Here is a 21,925-nt window from a genome sequence, read left to right as displayed (position 1 = left end):
CAAAATAGTCCGGAGGGGATAGGAGGAGATAGAGAGGCATTAAGCAATAGGAGGGGCAGGGATTTGGAGGTGGAGAGGAGGGAGAAACCGGTCCTCTCTCCCAGGAGATGGGGTAGGCCTCTCCTCAGACTGGTGCCTAAATAAGTGTTGGTGCTCTCGGGTGCAGCCTCGATGACGATTTCCTCACATCTCTCTCCTCACCTCCTAGTGGAAAACAGCTGGAGCCACCCGGTGAGGCTGTGGGAAAGATGAGTGGGGGTGCCGGATCCGCCCCGAGCGGCTCCCTCCTTTCTCCCTGCTTCTCTGTTCCCATGTCCCCTCTTGGACATTGGCAGCCTTGCCCCAGAAAGGTGCCAATTCCTGGGTTGGGGAAAGTGTTGTCTTCTGGACCAGAATCCTCTCCTCTGTGCCCATGGCCCATCAGGGAAAAGGGGAAACCCCAGGCCCCAACGAAGCCGTCCTGACTGTTGCATCTCAGACACAGGGAACTGGAACCTGAGAAAGAGGCAGGCCTCGCCCCGTCCAAACTTCCAGCCTGGACACCCCCTCAACCCCTGAGGGCGCACCAGACCAGGATCCCACTCCGGTCCCCTCCCTACCCTTGGCTATGGCGGAGGGCGCGGCGTCCCAGGCGGGCCGGTGGCTGGCCAAGCCCTCAGCCATCAGCAAAGGGCTATGAGGCTCAGCCAGAGCCATTGGGGTCGACAGCGCCCACCTCCGGCACTCACCGTTTTGGGCATGGTGGCGGCAAAGGCAGCGGAGTTGGCGAAGTTTAGCTAGGACTGTCGGGCAGTGCTGAGCACGCAGTACACACGGCTTGGATTCGGCTGGCCGGGGACTCAGATTGGGTCCCTCACTAGCGTCGGGGCGACTGTTAGGCTTCCTGCTAACGGGCCACGACTTCACAAACCCCACCCAGGAAAGAGCCGCCCCTGTCGCGCCGCCCGCTCCTTTATGTGGCCCGGCTTCCGCGCCGCTCCCCGCCCTCGCGCCCGCCTCCCCGCCGACCGCTGGCCTTGCCCCGCCCAGCCCCGCCTGGCCAGGCCCGGCGCAGCCAGGCCACAGCGGCCACGTGGGGGGCCCGGCTGGGCCCGGGCGGACCTAGGGTAGCTACCACTCCCCACCCAGACCCACCCGGCTCCTCTCCCACCCTGGTCACAGCCCCTAGCCTTCCACGTCCTGGCCTTCCAGCCCCACCCCCACTCAGGGCCCAGACCCTGGGCCCTGACAGATGCTTACTCAGCCCCTGACTGCAACTTTCCACTGATGGGGAGCTCACTACCTATCTTTTCCTTCTCTAGACAGCTCTGGCTCTTAGAAAGTTCTTGCCGTGTCTGAACTCCTTTTCTCTATGGCTTCCATCCATGGATCTCAGTTCTGCTCCCTGAGGCCACACAGATCCCCTGTTGTCCCTAACAGCTCCTCAAAGGCCTGAAGATCTCAGGTCCACAGGAAACTTCTCTTCTTTTGGCTAAACTGCCTCACCTCTTAAAACACTTCATCCATTCTCTTCCGTAGGACTCTCCCCATCATATTTCCTACCCATCCTTGCTCAGTCCTCATTTATCTTTCCTTCATCTAAATCCCAGTCTTCACCTTCCTCAAATCAGTGACCTGATCCTTTAGCCCCTCTCCCAGTACATTCACTTTCTGATGTCCTGATGGGGCTGGCTATAATTCCCTCAGGTTAGATGTGACCTCCCTAGTCCACACCCTTGGGGTTTGTCTGCCAGCTCCCTTTCTCCTTCTTGTCAAGGTCACAGAATCCCAGGATGGCAGTGTTCTAGACTGTTGAAGTCGTCTGGTCAAGTCTGAGTTTTAGGCTGAGTGCGGTGGCTCATGACTGTAATCTTAACACTTTGAGAGGCTGATGCAGGAGGATTGCTTGAGCCCAGGAATTCGAGACCAGCCTGGGGAGCATATCAAGACCCCCTCCCATATCTATACAAAAAAAATAAGTGAGAGCCGGGCATAGTGGCTCACTCCTGTAATCCCAGCACTTTGGGAGGCTGAGGCGGGCTGATCACCTGAGGTCAGGAGTTCAAGACCAGCCTGGCCAACATGGTGAAACCCCGTCTCTACTAAAATTACAAAAATTAGCCGGGCACGTGCCTGTAATCCGAGCTACTCGGGAGGCTGAGGAGGGAGAATCGCTTGAACCCGGGAGGCGGAGGTTACAGTGAGTCAAGACTGAGCCAGTGCACTCCAGCCAGGGCAACAGAGTGAAACTCTGTCTCAAAAATAATAATAATAATAGTAAGTGAGACCATGTGCAGTGGCTTACACCTGTAATCCTACCACTTTGGGAGGCCAAGACCTGCAGATCACTTGAGGTCAAGAGTTTGAGACCAGCCTGCTCAACATGGCGAAACCTCATCTCTATTAAAAATGCGAAAAAAAAAAACAAAAAAATTAGCCGGGTGTGATGGCACGTAGTTCCAGGCACTCGGGAGGATGAGGCAGGAGAATCGCTTCCGGGAGGCGGAGGCTGCACTGAGCCCAGATTGGGCCACTGCACTCCAGCCTGGGCAATAGCACAAGACTCCGTCTCCAAAAAAAGTAAAATAAAATAAGTCCGAGTTTTAGTTTGAAAGTGGCTGGCCATAGTCCTTTTTTCCTCCTCTCCACTGGCAACCATGTGAAGGCATGGTCTGAGTATCCTTTGTGAGGTAAGGCACCACAGATGGTAAGCCAGTTTGAGACAATGGAAAGGATACTTGAGAGGTCAGGACACCTGGCTTCTACGTATAGCTCTGCCATTAACTCATCCTATGACCACTATGTGGCCTTGGGTAATTCCCTCCCCCTCTCTGGGCTTGAGTTTCCATTTCTGTAGCAAGAAAGGACTGGACTCCGGGGCTTCCAAGGTCCTTTCCCACTCTGACATTATAAAGGGATGAGAAAGGAAGTATACTCCCTAGGACAATAGATGAGCCTAACAGGATTGCATATGGGCTGGTCTTGCATTTGCACTCAGGAACCAGTAGTCTGATTCCATCCTCTTCCTTTGCCTTCCCAGACCAACAGTGTCCACGATTCAGTGTGCCTCGGTTTCTCTCACTGCTAACAAGATTCATTGATGTGTGCTAGGGTAAACAAAGTTCCCTGCCAAGATCATTTCCTTGAGCTAAGCATTTGTTCAAAGAGCAGCACTCATCGGAAAGCCCAAACAGTCTCCATGAGCAGTTGTCCCCAAGGAAGAGCAGCACTCACCAGAAAGCCTCAGCAGCAGGAGTAGCAATGACAGCTCATCACACGCCTTAATACTGCCATTGGCCCTTTTCCACCAGATGTTCAAGGAACTCAACTGATTTCTTCACTCATGTTCACCTAGAACCTACAGGGACCTGGCATGAAGCTAAATGCCTAAAGACAAAGAATTTACTTGGCGACTCCAACTTTCTGGAAAGTGGAAACTCCCTTGTGTCATTCCCCACCTCCCATGCCAACCACTCCCCACAACACACATACACAGGGGAGAGTTGGGTAGAGAGTGTCAAGTAGCTGAAGACACTACTAAAAGGGAAACAAGGACCAGGTGTGGTGGCTCACACCTGTAATCCCAGCACTTTGGGAGGCTGAGGCAGGCAGATCACTCGAGGTCAGGAGTTCAAGACCAGCCTGGCCAACATGGGAAAACCCCATCTCTACTAAAAATACAAAAATTAGCTGGGTGTGGTGGCATGTGCCTGTAATCCCAGCTACTCGAGAGGCTGAGGCAGGAGAATTACTTGAACCCAGAAGGCAGAGGCTGCAGTGAGCAAAGATCATACCACTGCACTCCAGCCAGGGTGACAGAGCAAAACACTGTCTTAAAAAAAAAAAAAAAGAAAGGGGGCATAGAAGTCCAAGCAGGGGCAGGGGGTGTCAGAGGCTCGGGGAGCTAAGAAATAGGGGGAAAGGGGCTGAGGGAGAAAGATGAGGTTGGACCTCTGGGGAGGAGAGGATGGGAAATAGAGAGAGAGCATAAACTATCAGAGACTAGTTAGTCCAGTCTCACTCCAGGTCAGGAGAACTGGGGATCAGAAAGAGGAAAAGACTTACCCAAGGCCAGATAGCTAATGTACAGAAGACAAAGAGCTCAGTTAAGAAGCTCTGGCAATAGTACAAGCAAGAAATTTTTTAAATATTATTTTCTCATGTTTTATTTTAGATACAGGGGGTACATGTGCATGTTTGTTACATAGATATATTGCACTCAGGTAGTGAGCATAGTACTCATTAGGAAGCTTTTCAACCCATGTCCTCTTCCCTCCCACCTCTAGTAGTTTTCAGTGTCTGTTGTGCCCATGTTTATGTCTGTAGGTGCTCAATGTTAAGCTCCCACTTATAAGTGAGAACATGCGGTATTTGGCTTTCTGTTCCTTCACTAATTCACTTAGGATTATGGCCTCCTGTTCCATCCATGTTGCTACTAAGGACATAATTTTATTCTTTTCTATGGCTGCATAGTATTCCACGGTGTATATGTACCACATTTTCTTTATCCAGTCGACTATTTCTTTCTTTTTTTTTTTTTTTTGAGATGGAGTCTCACTCTGTCACCCAGGCTGGAGTGCAGTGGCGTGATCTCGGCTCACTTCAAGCTCCGCCTCCCGGGTTCATGCCATTCTCTTGCCTCAGCCTCCCAAGTAGCTGGGACTATAGGCACCCGCCACCATGCCCGGCTAATTTTTTTTGTATTTTTAGTAGAGACGGGGTTTCACCATGCTAGCCAGGATGGTCTCGATCTCCTGACCTTGTGATCAGCCCACCTCGGCCTCCCAAAGTGCTGGGATTATAGGCATGAGTCACCGCTCCTGGCCTTAGTTGACCATTTCTTTATCCAGTCAACCATTTTCTTTATCCAGTCAACCATTGATCATGGGCACCTACATTGATTTCATGTCTTCGTTACTGTGAATAATGCTGCTATGAACATGCAAGTCCATGTGTCTTTTTGGTATAATGATCTATTTTCCTTTAGGTATATACCTAGTAATAAGAATGCTGGAACAAATGTAGCTCTGTTTTAAGTTCTTTGACAAATCTTCAAACTGCTTTGCCCAGTTGCTGAAGTAATTCACATTCCCACTAACAGTGTATAAGCATTCCCTTTTCTCCACAGCCTCGCCAGCATTTGTTGTTTTTTTTGACATTTTAATACTAGTCATTCTGACTGATGTAAGGTTACCACCTTACATCTGTTAGATTGTGGGTTAGATTTGCATTTCTCCGATGGTGAGTGATGATAGGCATTTTTTTTTCATATATTTGTTGGCCACTTGTATGTCTTTTTCTGAGAAGTGTCTGTTCACGTCCTTTGCTCATTTTTTTTTTTTTTGAGACAAAGTTTCACTCTTGTTGCCCAGACTGGAGTGCAATGGCGTGATCGTGGCTCACTGCAACCTCCACCTCCTGGGTTCAAGTGATTTTCCTGCCTCAGCCTCCCGAGTAGCTGGAATTACAGGTGCATGCCACCACGCCTTGCTAATTTTTGTATTTTTAGTAGAGACAGGGTTTCAGCATGTTGTTCAGGCTGGTCTCGAACTCCTGGCCTCAGGTGATCCACCTGCCTCAGCCTCCCAAAGTGCTGGGATTACAGGCGTGAGCCGCCACGCCTGGCCCTTTGCTCATTTTTTAATAGGGTTATTTATTTTTAGATTATTGATTTGTTTAAGTGCCCTATAGATTCTAGATGTTAAGCCCTTGTCAGTTGAATAGTTTACAAATGTCTTCCTCATTCTGTAGGTTGTCTGTTTACTCTGTTGATAGTTTCTTTTGCTGTGCAGAAACTCTTTAGTTTAATTAGGTCTCACTTGCCAATTTTTGCTTTTGTTGTAATTCTTTTTGAGACGTAGACAAAAATTTTTCACCAAGGCCTATGTCAAGAAGTGTGTTTCCTAGGTTTTATTCTGTGATTTTTATAGTTTGAGATCTTAAATTTAAATACTTAATCCATATTGAGTTAATTTCTGTAAATGGTGAAAGGTAAGGGTCTAGTTTCATTCTTCTGCATATGGCTAGCCAAGTATCTCAGCACCTTTTATTACATAGGGAGTTCTTTCCTATTGTTTGTTTTTGTCGACCTCGTCAAAGATCAGATGGTTATAAGTATGAGGCCTGATTTCTGAGTTTTCTATATATTCTGTTCCATTGGTCTATGTGTCTGTTTTTGTACCAGTACCATGCTGTTTTGGTCTTGATAGCTTTATAGTATAGTTTGATGTTGTGTAGTGTGATGCCTCAAGCTTTGTTCTTTTTGCTTAAGATTGTTTTGGCTATTTGGGCTCCTTTTTGGTTCCATGTGAATTTTAGAACAGTTTTTTCTAATTCTGTAAAGAATGACATTGGTAGTTTGATGGGAATAACGTTGAATCTGTAAATTGCTTTGGGCAGTATGGCTATTTTAATGATATTGCTTCTTCCAATCCATGAGCATGGGATATTTTTTCATTTATTTGTGTCATCTCCAATTTCTTTGAGCAGTGTTTTGTACTTCTCCTTGGAGAGATCTTTCACCTCCTTGGTTAGCTGCTGTACTCCTAGATATTTCATTTTCTTTGTGGCTATTGTTTGGTTTTGTTTTGAGATGGAGTGTTGCTCTATCACACAGGCTGTAATGCAATGGCACAATCTCAGCTCATTGCAACCTCCGCCTACTGAGTTCAAGCAATTCTTCTGCCTTGACCTCTGAGTATCTGGGACTACAGGCATACGCCACCATGCCTGGCTAATTTTTGTATTTTTAGTAGAGACAGGGCCATGTTGGCCAGGCAGGTCTGGAACTCCTGACCTCAGGTGATCTGCCTACCTCAACTTTCCAAAGTGCTGGGATTACAGGTGTCAGCCACAGTGCCCAGTCTCTTTGTGGCTATGGTAAATGGGGATGTGTTCTTGAGAAAAACTGGTACCAGTTCTACTGAAACTATTCTAAAAAGAAATTGAGGAGGTGGGGCTCCTCGCTAACTAATTCTGTGAAGCCAGCATCAGCCTAATACCAAAATCTGGCAGAGACAAAATGAAAAAAGAAAACTTCAGGCCAATATCCCTAATGAGCATAGATGCAAAAGTCCTTAACAAAATACTAGCAAACAAATCCAGCAGCACGTCAAAAAGTTAACATGCCATGATCAATCAGCTTCATTCCTGGAGTGCGAGGCTGGTTCAATGTATACAAATCAATAAATGTGATTTGCCACATACACACAATTAAAAACAAAAATCGTATGATCATTTCAATAGATACAGAAAAAGTTTTCAATACAATTCAACAACCTTTATGATAAAAACCCTCAACAAACTAGGCATCAAAAGAACATACCACAAAATAACAAGAGCCATCTATAGGTGGCTCATGCCTGTAATCCCAGCAGTTTGAGAGACTGAGGCGGTTGGATCACTTGAGGTCAGGAGTTCGAGACCAGCCTGGCCAACATGGTGAAACCTTGTCTCTACTAAAAATACAAAAATTAGCCAGGCATGATGGCAGACACCTGTAATCCCAGCTACTTGGAAGGCTAAGGCAGGAGAATCACTTGAACTTGGGAGGCAGAGGTTGCAATGAGCTGAGATCACACCACTGCACTCCAGCCTGGGTGACAGAGGAAGACTCCATCTCAAAAAAACAAAACAAAACAAACAAATAAAAGAGCCATCTATCATAAACCCACAGCCAACGTCATACTGAATGGGGAAAAGCTGAAAGCCTTTCCCCTAAAGAACTGGAACAAGACTTGGCTGGGCACGGTGGCCCACGCCTACAATCCCAGCACTTTGGGAGGCCGAGGTGGGCGGATCACGAGGTCAGGAGTTCAAGACCAGCCTGACCAACATGGTGAAACCTCATCTCTACTAAAAATACAAAAATTAGCCGGGTGTGGTGGCACATGCCTGTAATCCCAGCTACTTGGTAGGCTGAGGCAGGAGAATTGCTTGAACCCAGGAGGTGGAGGTTGCAGTGAGCCGAGACGGCGCCACTGCACTCCAGCCTGGCAACAGAGCGAGACTCCATCTCAAAAAAAAAAAAAAAAAGAACTGGAACAAGACAAGGATGCCCATTCTCACCACTCCTATTCAACATAATACTGGAAGTCCTGGCCAGAGCAATCAGGCAAGATAAAGAAATAAAAGGTATCCAAATAGGAAAGGAAGAAGTCAAACTATCTCTCTTTGCAGATGATATGATTCTATACCTAGAAAACCACATAATCTCTGCCCAAAGGCTCCTAGATCTGATAAATAGCTTCAGCAAAATTGTAGAATACAAAGTCAATGTACAAAAATCAGTAGCATTTCTATACACCAATAATGTTCAGGCTAAGAGTCAAATAAATAAAGCAATAAATTTTGAGGGCTAGAGCCAGAGAAGTAGTGCCTTCCTCCCCACTTCACCAAACAGAAGCTTGTTATGGTGATTATGGTCAATAGCTAGACATTGTTTAGGGGCTAGACATGAAACCCTTTGGCTAGCAGGGACTCATCTCAGTTACGCCCCTGTCTCCAGAGCAGAGCAGAGGCAGCCGAGGTGCTATCTTGTTCTTTAAGACGGCAGTGAAACAGCTTTGTTTCCTACCTCCTTGTAAACCATTTCATGCCTATATTGCCCAAACTTCTGATAGTCCCCCCACCTTACCCCCTACTGTGATCCTATTTGAACTGAGAGTTAGATCAATCATCCTGGGGCCACAGTAATACCCATGAGTAGGTTTAGATCTGATGAGGTTTATGTCAGTGTTTCTAGAGAGAAGACATAGAAATAGGAGCCATACATCCACATATAGGTTGGTTACTCTGTGAGAGGAACATAAGGGGTATGAAGAGATTTGGGTTTTTAGACAAGCTAAATTCAGAAAGTTCTAAGGGAGACAGGCAAGTCTTTTTCAAGCAGTACAGCTAATGAGGGCCAATATGAGCAGAGGTGGTACAGGGACATTCTGGAGCTGGAGTCCAAGGAAGCCGGGGGCATCTGAGTCAGTGGGCAGGAGATGCAAAGGAATATTTGGTCAGGGCTTTAGGGACAGACTTGGGGTCCAGTTTGAAAGGCTCAGGATTCCTTGGGGGCTGGGAATGTTCTGGAGCTGCAGCAAGTCTGGGCATCAAAGTCAAGGGAACAGCAAGCAAGAACTGCATGAAGCTGATTTATGTGATGCCGGGAGTGATGGCACATGCCTGTAATCCCAACACTTTGGGAGGCCGAGGCTGGTGGATCACTTGAGGCCAGGAGTTTGAGACCAGCCTGGCCAAAATGGTGAACCCTATCTCTACTAAAAATACAAAAAATTAGCTGGACATGGTGGTACGTACCTGTGGTCCCAGCTACTTGGGAGGCTGAGGCAGGAGGATTGCTTGAACCTGGGAGGCAAAGAGGTTGCAGTAAGCCAAGATTGCACCACTGCACTCCAGCCTGGGCAACAGAATGAGACTCCATCTCAAAAAAAAAGAAAAAAGAAAAAAGGTAGCCAGGCACGGTGGCTCACACCTGTAATCCCAGCACTTTGGGAGGCTGAGGAGGGTGGATCACCTGAGGTCAGGAGTCCAAGACCAGCCTGCACAACATGGTGAAACCTGTCTCTACTAAAAATACAAAAATTAGCTAGGCACGGTGGCACATGCCTGTAATCCCAGCTACTCCGGAGGCTGAGGCAGGAGAATCGCTTGAGCCCGGGAGGTGGAGGTTGCAGTGAGCCAAGGTTGCGCCATTGCACTCCAGCCTGGGTGACAGAGCAAGACTTCGTCTCAAAAAAAAAAGAAAGAAAAGAAAAAGAAAAAGAAAAAAACAAAAGAAAAATCAAGCTGATTTATATGAAAGTCTATGTCCAAGCTCAAGAGAGAAATGAAATTGGACTTTTAATCATCTGCAAATATATTGTTCCCATCCTAGATCTAAGTTCACGGCAATAAAGAAGCTTCTGCATTTCAAGTGGCATTCCTCCTTCAGGGGATGCAGTGCAGTGCAGAGGAGGCAATACCAGGGACAAACTGGTTGGAGAACAGCAAGGGATACTTTGCAAAAAGAATCCCCCTGACCCCAACAATTCACTGAAGGGTAGCAATTGAAAGTTCCCCATCACTCAAAACTTTCTGAGGGCTGCTTTTCATTTTCATCATTGTTGGAAAGTCCTTCTGTTTCACTCAGCACATTTGCTCTTGGGTTTTTCTTGCAGGAAGAATTAACTAAGCCCCTGAGATTGCTGTTCTAGCTTCATTCATAGAAGAGAAATGTGTCAGAGACAGATGAGAAAAAATATCAGCTTGGGGCCCCACACTCTGAGGCCTTCTCTCTCTCTCTTTTTCTTCCCCTGGGTCAGTAGTGCAAACACTTGACTACTTGTGCCCCTTACACAAAAAAGAGAATAAACTATTCTTTAGCTTATTCTTTAGATACTGTTGTCTCCCCTAAGGAAAAAGACCCTCTCACAGCATAATGTGGCTGAGAGTACAAACTGCAGTAGTAGGAAAATCATGCTTTTAACCATCCTCAGTCTTGTAGCTACTTCTTAGGAAAAAAAGCTAGCATCTGGGTAAAAGGAGAGAAGATAATATTAAACAAGGCACCTACTATGTGCTGAGCATTAGGGAGGCCATTTCAATATCTAACCTCAATGTAACCCTCACAAGAAATGACAGTTACATTGGTAGAAATGAGGACATTGAGGATCTGAGAAGTGATGTGACTTGTCCAAAAGTCACATGTTTGTTGATTTGTTGATGGTGGCACAGGGATCTGGGCCCAGGTAGTGTCAGACCAAAGTCCACCTTCATCCCATCAGCCTGAATCTGTGACTTTCTCAGTCCTGAGCTATGACCAGACATACTCGAGGAAGGGGGTGTATTTTAAGATTCGCATCACCCCCGCACCTTGGTGGTCAGACTAATGGTTCGAGATAGCAGGTGAGTAATCATAAGCAGGGCTGATAAGGCGTTTTGCCAGTATCAAGTGTCTGGGAATATTTATTATTAATCACACTAATGGACCACCATGAGAGGACAAAGTTTCTCTCTGGTTTTTCACCTGATAGAGCTGGAAGCTTTTCAAGCACTTTCCCCAGCCAGCCAATATCAATTTAATTTAAGTCACTATCCTCTTGGAATATGAAATTGGCTCCATAGACAGGATCTCCCAGTGAAGTCATCAGCCCCCCCAGCCCTGCCCCCACTGACCAGTCACCCTGCATATGTGACCAGTCTGCATGTGCCCAGAGAGAAAACAGCCTGCTGAGCTCATGGCCCGTCTGTGAACCATCCGCATCCATCTGTGACTGGGTGCCTGTTAGGTGCCAGGCTCTATGAGAGGCTCTGTGAGGGGTGCTCACCCTCCTCTCCCCTCGAGCTCCCCTTCCCAGCAGCTCTGTATCTGTTGGTGGTTTTGCTGTTGGCGTCGTCTTTTGTGTGCACAGTTTCATCATCTTTAACTCTGCCTGACCCCTGCCATCAGTCACCAAGCTCTGCTCTCTGTCTGTCTGTGTGTCCTTCACAGCTTCACTCCATCCCATCTCCACTGCCAGTGCCCCAGGTCAGCCCTCCCCGACTCTGGCCTCAACTGTTGGAACAGGCTCCTCCCTCGTCTCCCTGCCTCCAGGCTGCCTGTCCAGGCCAGCCTCCACATGGTCATTTGGTGATCTTCATGGTGATCTTCAGAAACATAGCCTTCATGTGTGCTCAGAATTGGCAGGTGAACCCTCACACACACACCAATGCACACACTTACCTTCCCAGCCCTCTCTTCCTCCCACGGCTCCTCAGCACAGGCCGTGCCCTCTAGCTGGGCTACTCACTGCACGCAGCAGCACCGTGTGCTTGCTCTTGTCTCTGGGCTTCCCGGGCCCTACCTCCTGCACAAAGCCCTCCCTTGGTCTTTCCTGCCCTCCTCGTGCTCTCTGTCTCCCTCAGCCCCGCAGTGCCTGCAGTAGGTTCACAGTGCTCATTTGGCCTCCCTCCCACATCCTGCTTTGTCTTGTCAGCAGCTGCTTTTTTTAATTTTAATTTTCCATTCCAGGCTGGGCTGTAGTTGCTCCCATAAAGGGATCACAGTTTTTGTTCCATGCAGAAGGAGTCCAGAACACTTCTAGGCATAACCTTGGAGCTCATGACAGGTTGCTCAGCTAGGCCAGAGAAGAGAGGGATCTGCTCATTTCCAGCCTTGCAGGCCTATCAACTTGTATTATGTTCAGTTTCTCTAAGGGCACACATTCCCCTTCACATTGCCTCAACTTATCCTGTTAGGAGACAAGACTAATGGAACAGATTCTCCTATGTCATCACTTTCTCTCTCCCAACTCACAACAACAAACACAATACACACACACACACACACACACACACACACACACACACAGGCATAGATCTTTTCAGCTCTGCTCCCAGTCTGCCTTAGGTAAACACTATACTGTGTACAAAGAGGCATTTACAAAGACATTCACTGCAATACTATAATAATCAAGGGAAACAACATAAATGTCCATCACCAGAGCACTAATTAAATACATTATGGTATATCCATACAATAATTCAGCCTTTTGAAAACACAAGCTATCAGCCAGGCATGGTGGCTCATGCCTGTAATCCCTGAACTTTGGGAGGCCAAGGCGGGTGAATCACCTGAGGTCAGGAGTTCGAGACCAGCCTGGACAATATGGTGACACCCTGTCTCTACTAAAAATACAAAAATTAGCCAGGCATGATGGCAGGCACCTGTAGTCCCAGCTACTTGGGAGGCTAAGGCAGGAGAACAACTTGAACCCGGGAAGCAGAGGTTATAGTGAGCCAAGGTCACGCCACTGCACTCCAGCCTGGGCGACAAGAACAAGACTCTGTCTCAAAAAACAAAACAAAACAAAATAAAACAAAAAAACCACAAGCTATCATGAAAAGAGGTTTCTGATCTATTAGACCTATTAGAAGATTCAGGGAGATGTCTATGTCTTCTTCTGAATCAGACTTCTGAATGCCAAGAGGCAGAGCTGGATCAAGTGGGAGAAAGCCACAGTGGGACACGAGGGAGAAGGTTTGTATAGTCACAGCTGTCCAAAACTGGAGAGAGTCATTCAAAAAGTACTGAGGTCCTCGTAATTGAAAGTTTGTTGACAAAGGTTACATGACCCCATACTCTGGGAGGTTGAAGAGAAAATTTCTATGCCCTAAGGGTCTATAAAATCAATATGTAAGAAGCCCTCAAATAAAAACAGAGCCATTTTCAAATCATTATGTCATTCACTACCAAGAACATCTTAGGTAATCAGAGTGTCAATCCATATATGACAGATAAGGTAACTGAGGCTCAAGGAAGTAAGGTCACTTGGCCATGATCTCATTATAAGTAGGGTCTTGAAACAAGCCTATCTGACTTTATTATTCATCCTATAATGAAACAAGCCTATCTGACTTTATTATTCATCCTATAATGAAACAAGCCTATCTGACTTTATTATCTGACTTTATTATTCATTCATTCAACTATCTGACTTTATTATTCATTCATTCAACAATTTTTTGTGTGTATGCTTACTACACAAAAGGCACTGTACTAGGCTCTGTGTATACAGACATGAAAAAAACAAAAGTTTCTACCCTTACAGGGCTCACAACCTAGTGAGGGAGACAGACAAAAAAAAAGGAATATAATATATTTTTTCACCACTCCCCACATCCTAAGTGTTGAGGTATGGGGATAAAAGACTTCATCTCAGCAGGGCCAATAAAAACTATTACCCTGGCATAAAAAGCTCCCACCTACAACGCTCTGAAAAAACAGTCATAGGTGACTGGACAAGGAACAGAAAGCAGGATGGGTCAGGGCTTTGAGCAGACCCTTCTCCTCTTACTAAGACCTCCATGAGAGCACAACCCAAAAACTCCTACTGGCCACTGGTGGTGTATATGCTTTATTCATACGTATATGCCTTTATGTATATATAGCAAGATAGCTGCACATTTTTTTTTCTTTAGTATATGTATGAGGGAAAGAGAGAGAGAGAAAGTGCCACCTTGAAAGCAGTAAATTTTGGAAACAGAACACCTGGTTTTAGTCTGTTTTTCCAATAACTAGTTCAGCAACTTTAGGTAAATCAGTTGATTAACCCAAGCCTCAGTTTCCTGTAAAAATTGGGGTAATAATAATAGCTACCTCCCAATATTTTTGGCCAGGAGGATATATAAGGTTGGCTATAAGAAGGGTCTTTGCAAGGCCAGGCGTGGTGGCTCGCCTGTAATCCCAGCACTTTGGGAGGCCGAGGAGGGCCGATCACGAGGTCAGGAGATCAAGACCATCCTGGCTAATGTGGTGAAACCCTGTCTCTACTAAAAAATACAAAAAAAAAATAAATAAAAAATTAGCTGAGTGTGGTGGTGGGCGCCTGTAGTCCCAGCTACTCAGGAGGCTGAGGCAGGAGAATGGTGTGAGCCCGGGAGGCGGAGCTTGCAGTGAGTGGAGATCGCGCCACTGCACTCCAGCCTGGGCGACAGAGGAAGACTCTGTCCCAAAAAAAAAAAAAAAAAAAAGAAGGGTCTCCATAAAATGATTGCATAGAGCCAGGTGCAGTGGCTCACGCATGTAATCCCAGCACACTGGGAGGCCGAGGCAGGCGGATCACCTGAGGTCAGGAGTTCAAGACCAGTCTGGTCAATGTGGTGAAACCCCGTTTCTACCAAAAAATACAAAAAAATAGCTGGGTGTAGTGGCAGGCGTCTGTAATCCCAGCTACTCGGGAGGCTGAGGCAAAAGAATCACTTGAACCCGGGAGGTGGAGGTTGCAGTCAGCCGAGGTCGCGCCACTACACTCCAGCCTGGGCAACAAGAGCAAAACTCCATCTCAAAAAATACATACTTCCACATAGAAAAAGTGTGGTCATAGCTATGTGTATGTGGTATATAAATGTAGGTTCTGGAGTCTTCCTGGGCCCCCAGATGTGCCTTTGTTTGGCCATGTGTATGTTATCCATACACATGGATAACATACACATGGAGCAAACAGGCTCCCATGCTTGCCTGTTTATGTGCCCATTTGCTTGTGTGTGTGTTGTTCGGCCTAATCTGTATTTCCAAGTCAGCCTAATGTATAGTAGCCCCTTCCTCCCACCACTTACGTTCCTAAAACACTTTTTCTCATTCTTTACTCCCTAGTCTCAGACCAGAACACATTTTAACATTATTTTTTTTCTGAGAAATACAGGCCTCAAACATTCCTAACTATTTTTAAGAGACTTCCCCCTACTTCACACTACACCAAAGGCATTGGTTTATATTCAGCCTAGCCATGTATTTACATGAAGATGTGAGCCCATATGTGGCTATGTCTCAGTGGGGAAAATGCGGGGCCATCCCCCAGGTTTGAAGTGCCCCTTCAAACCAGCCACATCATGTGTTCCTGAGCCTCTCCAGTGGCTCCAGAGAATGTGGTGTTGGCAAAATAATGCCACAGGGGAAGATGAGAAGCCATTCTCCAGTTTTCTGTCACACACACACCACTCCCAACTCCCCAGCCTCCACTTCTCTAAGACTTTGGGACTGGGGGCCAAGAGGTCTGGTTCTACTTTCTGCAGGCCAACAAAGTCCTAAATATACTGCCATATGACTGGTTCCAAAGACATCCAGCCATTTATTCTGAGTATCAGAATGCTTGGGAGAAGAGAGAGAGCCCCATGTTTAACTCATAGAACCTCTGAATCTTAGAGCATGGTCCTTCATCACCGCCTAAATCCACCTCTCCCATATCCTCAATGAAAGAGTAAAAACAGAAATCAGAATCTTAAAATATTACACCTTTAACATCATCTAGGCTACGTGTCCCAATTTTACAAGTGAGAAAACTACGGCCAAGGGAAGTGAATGGAGTTGGTCAGGAAAAAGACTAGTTCTCCTGACTCCCAGGCTAGGATTCTTTCCACTGGGTCTCCAGACTCAAGAGCAATAAGAATCAAGCAAGTTAATACAAAAGATTAATGATCCCATGCTCCTGTTGCTTTGGGGGACATCTGAAAATAGAAGCTGAGAAGTTCTTAGGGAGGGAGAAAAAATTACAGGGGCTTGCTGGTGGGTCTCTCTGCTGAGAGCAGACCTGGATCAAGTACCTACCATGGCTCAGGGCCAGATCTGAGACCCAGGAGAAATGAGAGCTTCTCTTGTTTAGAAGCTTTAGAAGCTGACCTGGAAACTGGAGAGGTCTTACTCTTCCTGTGACATGGGTTCTGGATCTCCAACAAAAGCTCCTAAAGGCAAGGATTGTGGCTTGCATTATCTTCTCATCTCCCAAAAACTTGTCCAGCTCCAGGCCTCCTGATTGATTGATGATGCTTGCCATAGAGATGAAATCATCCTGGCTCTGTGGGCAAAGGTCTCTGTCCTGATTAACCCTCAGACTGGCTGCATCACTGAACTGCAAGTGCACCAGCCTTCCGGTGCTCCACATTCTAGTTGCCCCCATCTTCCAGGGGGCTGGATTAGCACAGCACATCCCAAGGGTCATGGGCTTGCCTGCTGGCCTAGGGAGGTTGCTTCCCATCCTCAGGGCTCTGACCTCATAGACTGCACAGGGGATGAAAGTAGAGGCTGGTCTTGAACTTCTGGCCTCAAGTGATCCACCCACCTTTGCCTCCCAAAGTGCTGGGATTACAGGCGTGAGCCACCATGCCTGGCCTGGGATGGTGTTAATATGACTAGAGGGATGTCTGATAGAAGGGAAACACAGCAAGTAAAGAGCAACTGAAAGGCCGGGTGCGGTGGCTCACGCCTGTAATCCCAACGCTTTGGGAGGCCAAGGTGGGTGGATCACCTGAGGTCAGGAGTTCGAGACCAGCCTGGCCAATGTGGCCAATGTGATGAAACCCCATCTCTACTAAAAATACAAAAAATTAGCTGAGTGGGATGGCAGGTGCCTGTAATCCCAGCTACTCAAGAGGCTGAAGCAGGAGAATCGCTTGAACCCAGGAGGCAGAGGTTGCAGTGAGCTGAGATCGTGCCATTGCACTCCAGCCTGGACAAGAACAGCGAAAGTCCATAGCAAAATAATAATAATAATAATAATAATAATAATAATAATAATAAATATTACTTCTTTCCTTGCCCATTTTTACTAAAATAGAATACATCCCCCACAAAAAGAGCACCATATTCTCAATCTCAGAGATTTGTTTCCTTCACAGCACTTATAGTTTGAAATAATGTATTTTATCTGTGTATTTACTTGTTTAATATCTACCTCCCTGTAGTAGACAGAAAAATGGCACCCTGAACATACATATCCATATCTTAATTTTATTTTCTTTCTTTCTTTCTTTTTTTTTTTTTTTAGATAGAGTCTCACTCTGTCCCCCGGGCTGGAATGCAGTGGTGTGGTCTTGTATTTTTGGTAGAGACAGGGTTTCACCATGTTGGCAAGGCTGGTCTCAAACGCTTGAACTCAAGTGATCTGCCTACCTCAGCCTCCCAAAGTGCTGGAATTACAGGCATGAGCCACTGCACCCGGCCTCTAATTTTCAAAACCTATTAATATATTATGTTACATTACAAAGAGGAATTAAGGTTGCAGATGGAATTAAGGTAACTAATCAGCTGACCTTGAGATGGGAAGATTATCCTAGATTACCCGCGTGGGCACAGTGTAATCACAACGGTCTTTATAAGTGGAACAGTGGAAGAGGGAGGCATGAGAGGATGTCAGAGTGATGCAGTGTGAGGATTTGACCTGCTATTGCTGGCTTTGAAGAGAGAAGGGACCATAAGCCAAGGAATGCAGGCAGTCTCAATAAGCTGGAAAAGACAAGGAAATTTATTCTTCTCTAGAGCCTTCAGAAGGAACTCAGCCCTGCTGACCATTTTAAACTTCTGACCTCCAGAACTGTAAGAAAATTAATTGTTGTTTTAAACCACTCATAATTTGTTACGGGACACATGGTAAACTATTACACTCCCCCATTAGATCATGATTTTGATGAGGGCAGGAAATAGGTCTGTTCTGCTCACCATCATAGCCCCAGCATACATTGTAGCACCCAGCACAGAGTAGGACCTCAATTAATATTAGGTTAAATAAATGAATGAATCTTGGGCATGCCTTAGGGATCCTGCCTCCATAATGCCCCTTAATGTGGGGTGCCATTTCATCCAAGGGGCTGAGCCCAAAGGAGGCTGGCACCTCCCCAGCCAGAACGTGGTAGGAGAGAAGCTGGAAGCCTGAGAACACATACATCTTTTATTTCTCAGAAAAGGAACCCTTGATGGCTGGGTGCAGTGGCTCATGCCTGTAATCCCAGCACTTTGGGAGGCCAAGGGGGGTGGATCACTTGAAGCCAAGTGTTCGAGACCAGCCTGGCCAACATGGCAAAACCCTGTCTCTACTAAAAATACAAAAATTAGCTGGGAATAGTGGCATGCACCTGTGGTCCCAGCTATTTGAGAGGCTGAGGTGCAAGAATCGCTTGAACCCAGGAGGGGGAGGTTGCAGTGAATCCAGGAGGGGGAGTTTGCAGGAGGGGGAGGTTGCAGTACCACTGCACTCCAGCCTGGGTGACAGAGTCTCACTCTGCCTCAAAAAAAAAAAAAAAAAAAAAAAAAGAGAAAAAAGGAGGCCTGTGGAGTCTATATTAACCACCTGTCTATCCACACAACAATGTGCACGTTTTTTTTTTCATACCTATATATACAGAGAAATGATGATTCTCATTCCAGAACCTTTTCTGGAGCACCTAGTGTGTGTCATGTGCAGTGCCAGGAGCTTGTGCGTATGTTATTTGTGGATGGTGGTGGTAGTGGTCTGTTTCACGTGTTATTTTTTTGTTATCTCATTTGTTCCTTGCTTTGGTGGGGTAGGGATTCCTAGTCCTACTATGAAAAGGCAAAGACAAAGTATGAGCCCAGCTCAAGGCCACATAGCCAGTGAGCTGGAACCCAGCTCTCCAGACAGACACTGTACCCAATTTTATATATATATACACACATACACACACACACATATACACACACATACATATACACACGCGCATACACACACACACACACACAAATATATATATATATATTTTTTTTTTTTTTGAGATAGAGTCTCTCTCTGTCACCTAGGCTGGAGCACAGTGGCATGATCTCGGCTCACTGCAACCTCCGCCTCCCGGGTTCAAGCAAATCTCCTGCCTCAGCCTCCCAAGGAGCTGGGACTACAGGCACCCGCCACCACGCCTGGCTAATTTTTGTATTTTTTTTTTTTTTTTTTAGTAGAGATGGGGTTTCATCATATTGACAGGCTGGTCTCAAACTCCTGACCTTGTGATTCACCTGCCCCTGCCTCCTAAAGTGCTGGGACTACAGGTGTGAGCCACGGGCTCCTGGCCATAGATATATATATATATATATACATATATATATAAATTTTTTTAAGCTACCACCTACCAGCACTTCTCCCTCACACACAAGGTTGTACACATTGGACCCATGTTGTCTCTTCCCTTAGGCCATATCTTGAGCAGTCTACCTTCTTCTCCCTGCTGAAGTAATACACTCTGCCTTTCGGCAACCATTTTTCCTCCCAGTAAAAAGAAGTAGTAAGTTGAGTAGAAAGGTCACAGGATTTGGCATCCCAGCCTAGATTCAGGTGTTCACTTGGCCACTTACGGACAGTGGGATCTTTGGCATTTTCTCCTCATCCATACCCAGGCCTTACCTCTCATTTCCAGTCACATCTTTTTTATTTTATTTTATTTTATTTTATTTTATTTATTTTATTTATTTTATTTTATTTTATTTTAATCTTTGAGATGGAGGCTCACACTGTCACCCAGGCTGGAGTGCAGTGTCATGATCTCGGCTCACTGCAACTTCCGCCTCCCAGGTTCAAGCGATTCTCCTGCCTCAGCCTCCCAAGTAGCTGGGATTACAAGTGCGTGCCACCACGCCTGGCTAATTTTTAGTAGAGACGGGGTTTCACCGTGTTAGCCAGGATGGTCTTGATCTTCTGACCTCGTGATCCACCCATCTCGGCCTCCCAAAGTGCTGGGATTACAGGCGTGGGCCACCACGTCCAGTCCTCTCTTTTATTTATTTTTTATTTTTACTTTTATTTTTGAGACGGAGTCTCTCTCTGTTGCCCAGGCTGGAGTGCAGTGGCACGATCTTGGCTCACTGCAACCTCTGCCTCCCAGATTCAAGCAATTCTCCTGCCTCAGCCTCCCAAGTAGCTGAGATCACAGGCGCCCACGACCACGCCCGGCTAATTTTTGTATTTTTAGTAGAGAAGGGGTTTCACCACGTTGGCCAGGCTGGTCTTGAACTCCTGACCTCAGGCGATCTGCCCACGTCGGCCTCCCAAAGTGCTGGGATTACAGGCGTGAGCCACCGCGCCTCCCAAAGTGTTGGGATTAAATGCATGAGTGACCACTCCAGGCCTCAAAAACCCTTCTGATCATTCCTCTCCTCAAACTTGTCCCCTTCCAGAGATCTAAGAGTCATCTTTAATATCTTCTTTTTCCTCACGCCCCCCCCACCCCCTCCAGCCATTTCAACCCACTGCTAAGTTCTATCAATGAGCCATTCTAAAAACTTTCAAATCTGTCTGCTTCTCTCTATGTCCACTGCCACTACCCTGGTCCCAGCCCAGTCGAATGGACAACTACATCAGGTTCCTAACTGATTTTCCCACATCCTTTTTGGCTCTCCTCCATCCATTTGTCCACAAAGAAGCCAGAGAAATATTTTCAATATGCAAAATCATGTCATTCTCCAGCTTAAAAACCTTCAATGGCTTCTCCCCTGTGCTTTTATGATGAAAAGAATCGTTGTCATGGCCTTTAAAAGGCATTTATGGTATGGCTCCTACCTATTTCTCTAGCCTCTCTCTACCAACTCTCTCTGTCACTGCTTGCATTCCAGCCACACTAGCCATTTTTCCATCTCTAAAATGTGTTATGCTTCCTCCAATCCATCCCCCATGAAGGTCTTTGCATACTATGCATTCTGCAGGGGAGCACATGTTTCCCCACCTTCACCATTTACCTAGTTAACACCAATTCAATCCTTCCTTTAGATCAAATATCACTACTTGTGGAACTCTCTAAAACCCACCATATGTCAGGATCCCTACCACATGTCCTTAGAGAACTAACCACCTGGCTGGGTGCAGTGGCTTACGCCTGTAATCCCAGCACTTTGGGAAGCCGAGGTGGGCGGATCACGAGGTCAGGAGTTCGAGACCAGCCTGGCCAACATGGCAAAATCCCACCTCTACTAAAAATCCAAAAAATTAGCTGGGTGTGGTGGCAGGCACCTGTAATCCCAGCTGCTTGGGAGGCTGAGGCAGGAGAATTGCTTGAACCCGGGAGGTGGAGGTTGCAGTGAGCCGAGATCACGCCATTGCACTCCAACCTGGATGACAGTGCAAGACTCCATCTCAAAAAAAAAAAAAAAAAGAGATAGAGCAAACTAACCACCTTTCCTCCATAGAACTTACTAACTTACTACAGTTTGCAAATATACAATTATTTGAGTCTTGAGTTGATTAATGTCTGTCTCCCCAAGTAAACCATAAGTTTCATTAAGGCAGGAACAGTGTTTGCTTTTTATCTCTATTGAAAACCAGTGTCTATAATAAGAGTGAATGAGAGGTGGTGAATTCACAAAGGGCCTTGTACCTCATACTAGGGTTTGTTTTTTTGTTTTGTTTTGTTTTGTTTTGAGATGGAGCTTCACTCTTGTTGCCCAGGCTGGAGTGCAATGGTGCGATCTCGGCTCACCACAACCTCCGCTCCCCGGGTTCAAGAGATTCTCCTGCCTCAGCCTCTCGAGTAGCTGGGATTACAGGCATGCACCACCACACCCATCTAATTTATTGTATTTTTAGTAGAGATGGGGTTTCTCCATGTTGGACAGGCTGGTCTTGAACTTCCGACCTCAGGTGATCAGCCCGCCTTGGCCTCCCAAAGTGCTGGGATTACAAGCGTGAGCCACCACGCCCGGCCATACTAG

General features: G+C 46.4%; 1 protein-coding gene across 4 annotated transcripts in view, besides 1 other annotated feature; it reads right to left on the bottom strand.

Annotated features, from left to right (window-relative positions):
* The window catches only part of MSN (moesin), a 153,555-nt gene that overhangs the window by 73,350 nt on the left and 58,280 nt on the right, over nt 1-21,925 (bottom strand). For 2 of the 4 annotated variants that reach the window (XM_047442130.1, NM_002444.3), the window contains exon 1: nt 729-928. The exons of the other annotated variants lie outside the window; for them this stretch is intronic. Coding sequence is in view for 1 of the 2 variants with exons in the window: in NM_002444.3 (NP_002435.1) it covers nt 729-740 (12 nt within the window). In the remaining variant the exon portion in view is untranslated. Of the gene's footprint in view, nt 1-728; nt 929-21,925 lie in introns of those variants that run through there. 4 annotated transcript variants of the gene reach the window in all.
* Nucleotides 907-1,236: a silencer, noted in NCBI's record as "silent region_20881". NCBI's record gives its function as "represses an Ori minimal core promoter by ATAC-STARR-seq in GM12878 lymphoblastoid cells {active_cell/tissue: GM12878}" and the evidence as "EXISTENCE:reporter gene assay evidence [ECO:0000049][PMID:35858748]".

Source organism: Homo sapiens, chromosome X (assembly GCF_000001405.40).
Source record: "Homo sapiens chromosome X, GRCh38.p14 Primary Assembly".
Lineage (NCBI taxonomy): Eukaryota > Metazoa > Chordata > Mammalia > Primates > Hominidae > Homo > Homo sapiens.
Note: the sequence above shows the minus strand (reverse complement) of the source record. Positions and strands in the feature narration are given on the sequence as shown.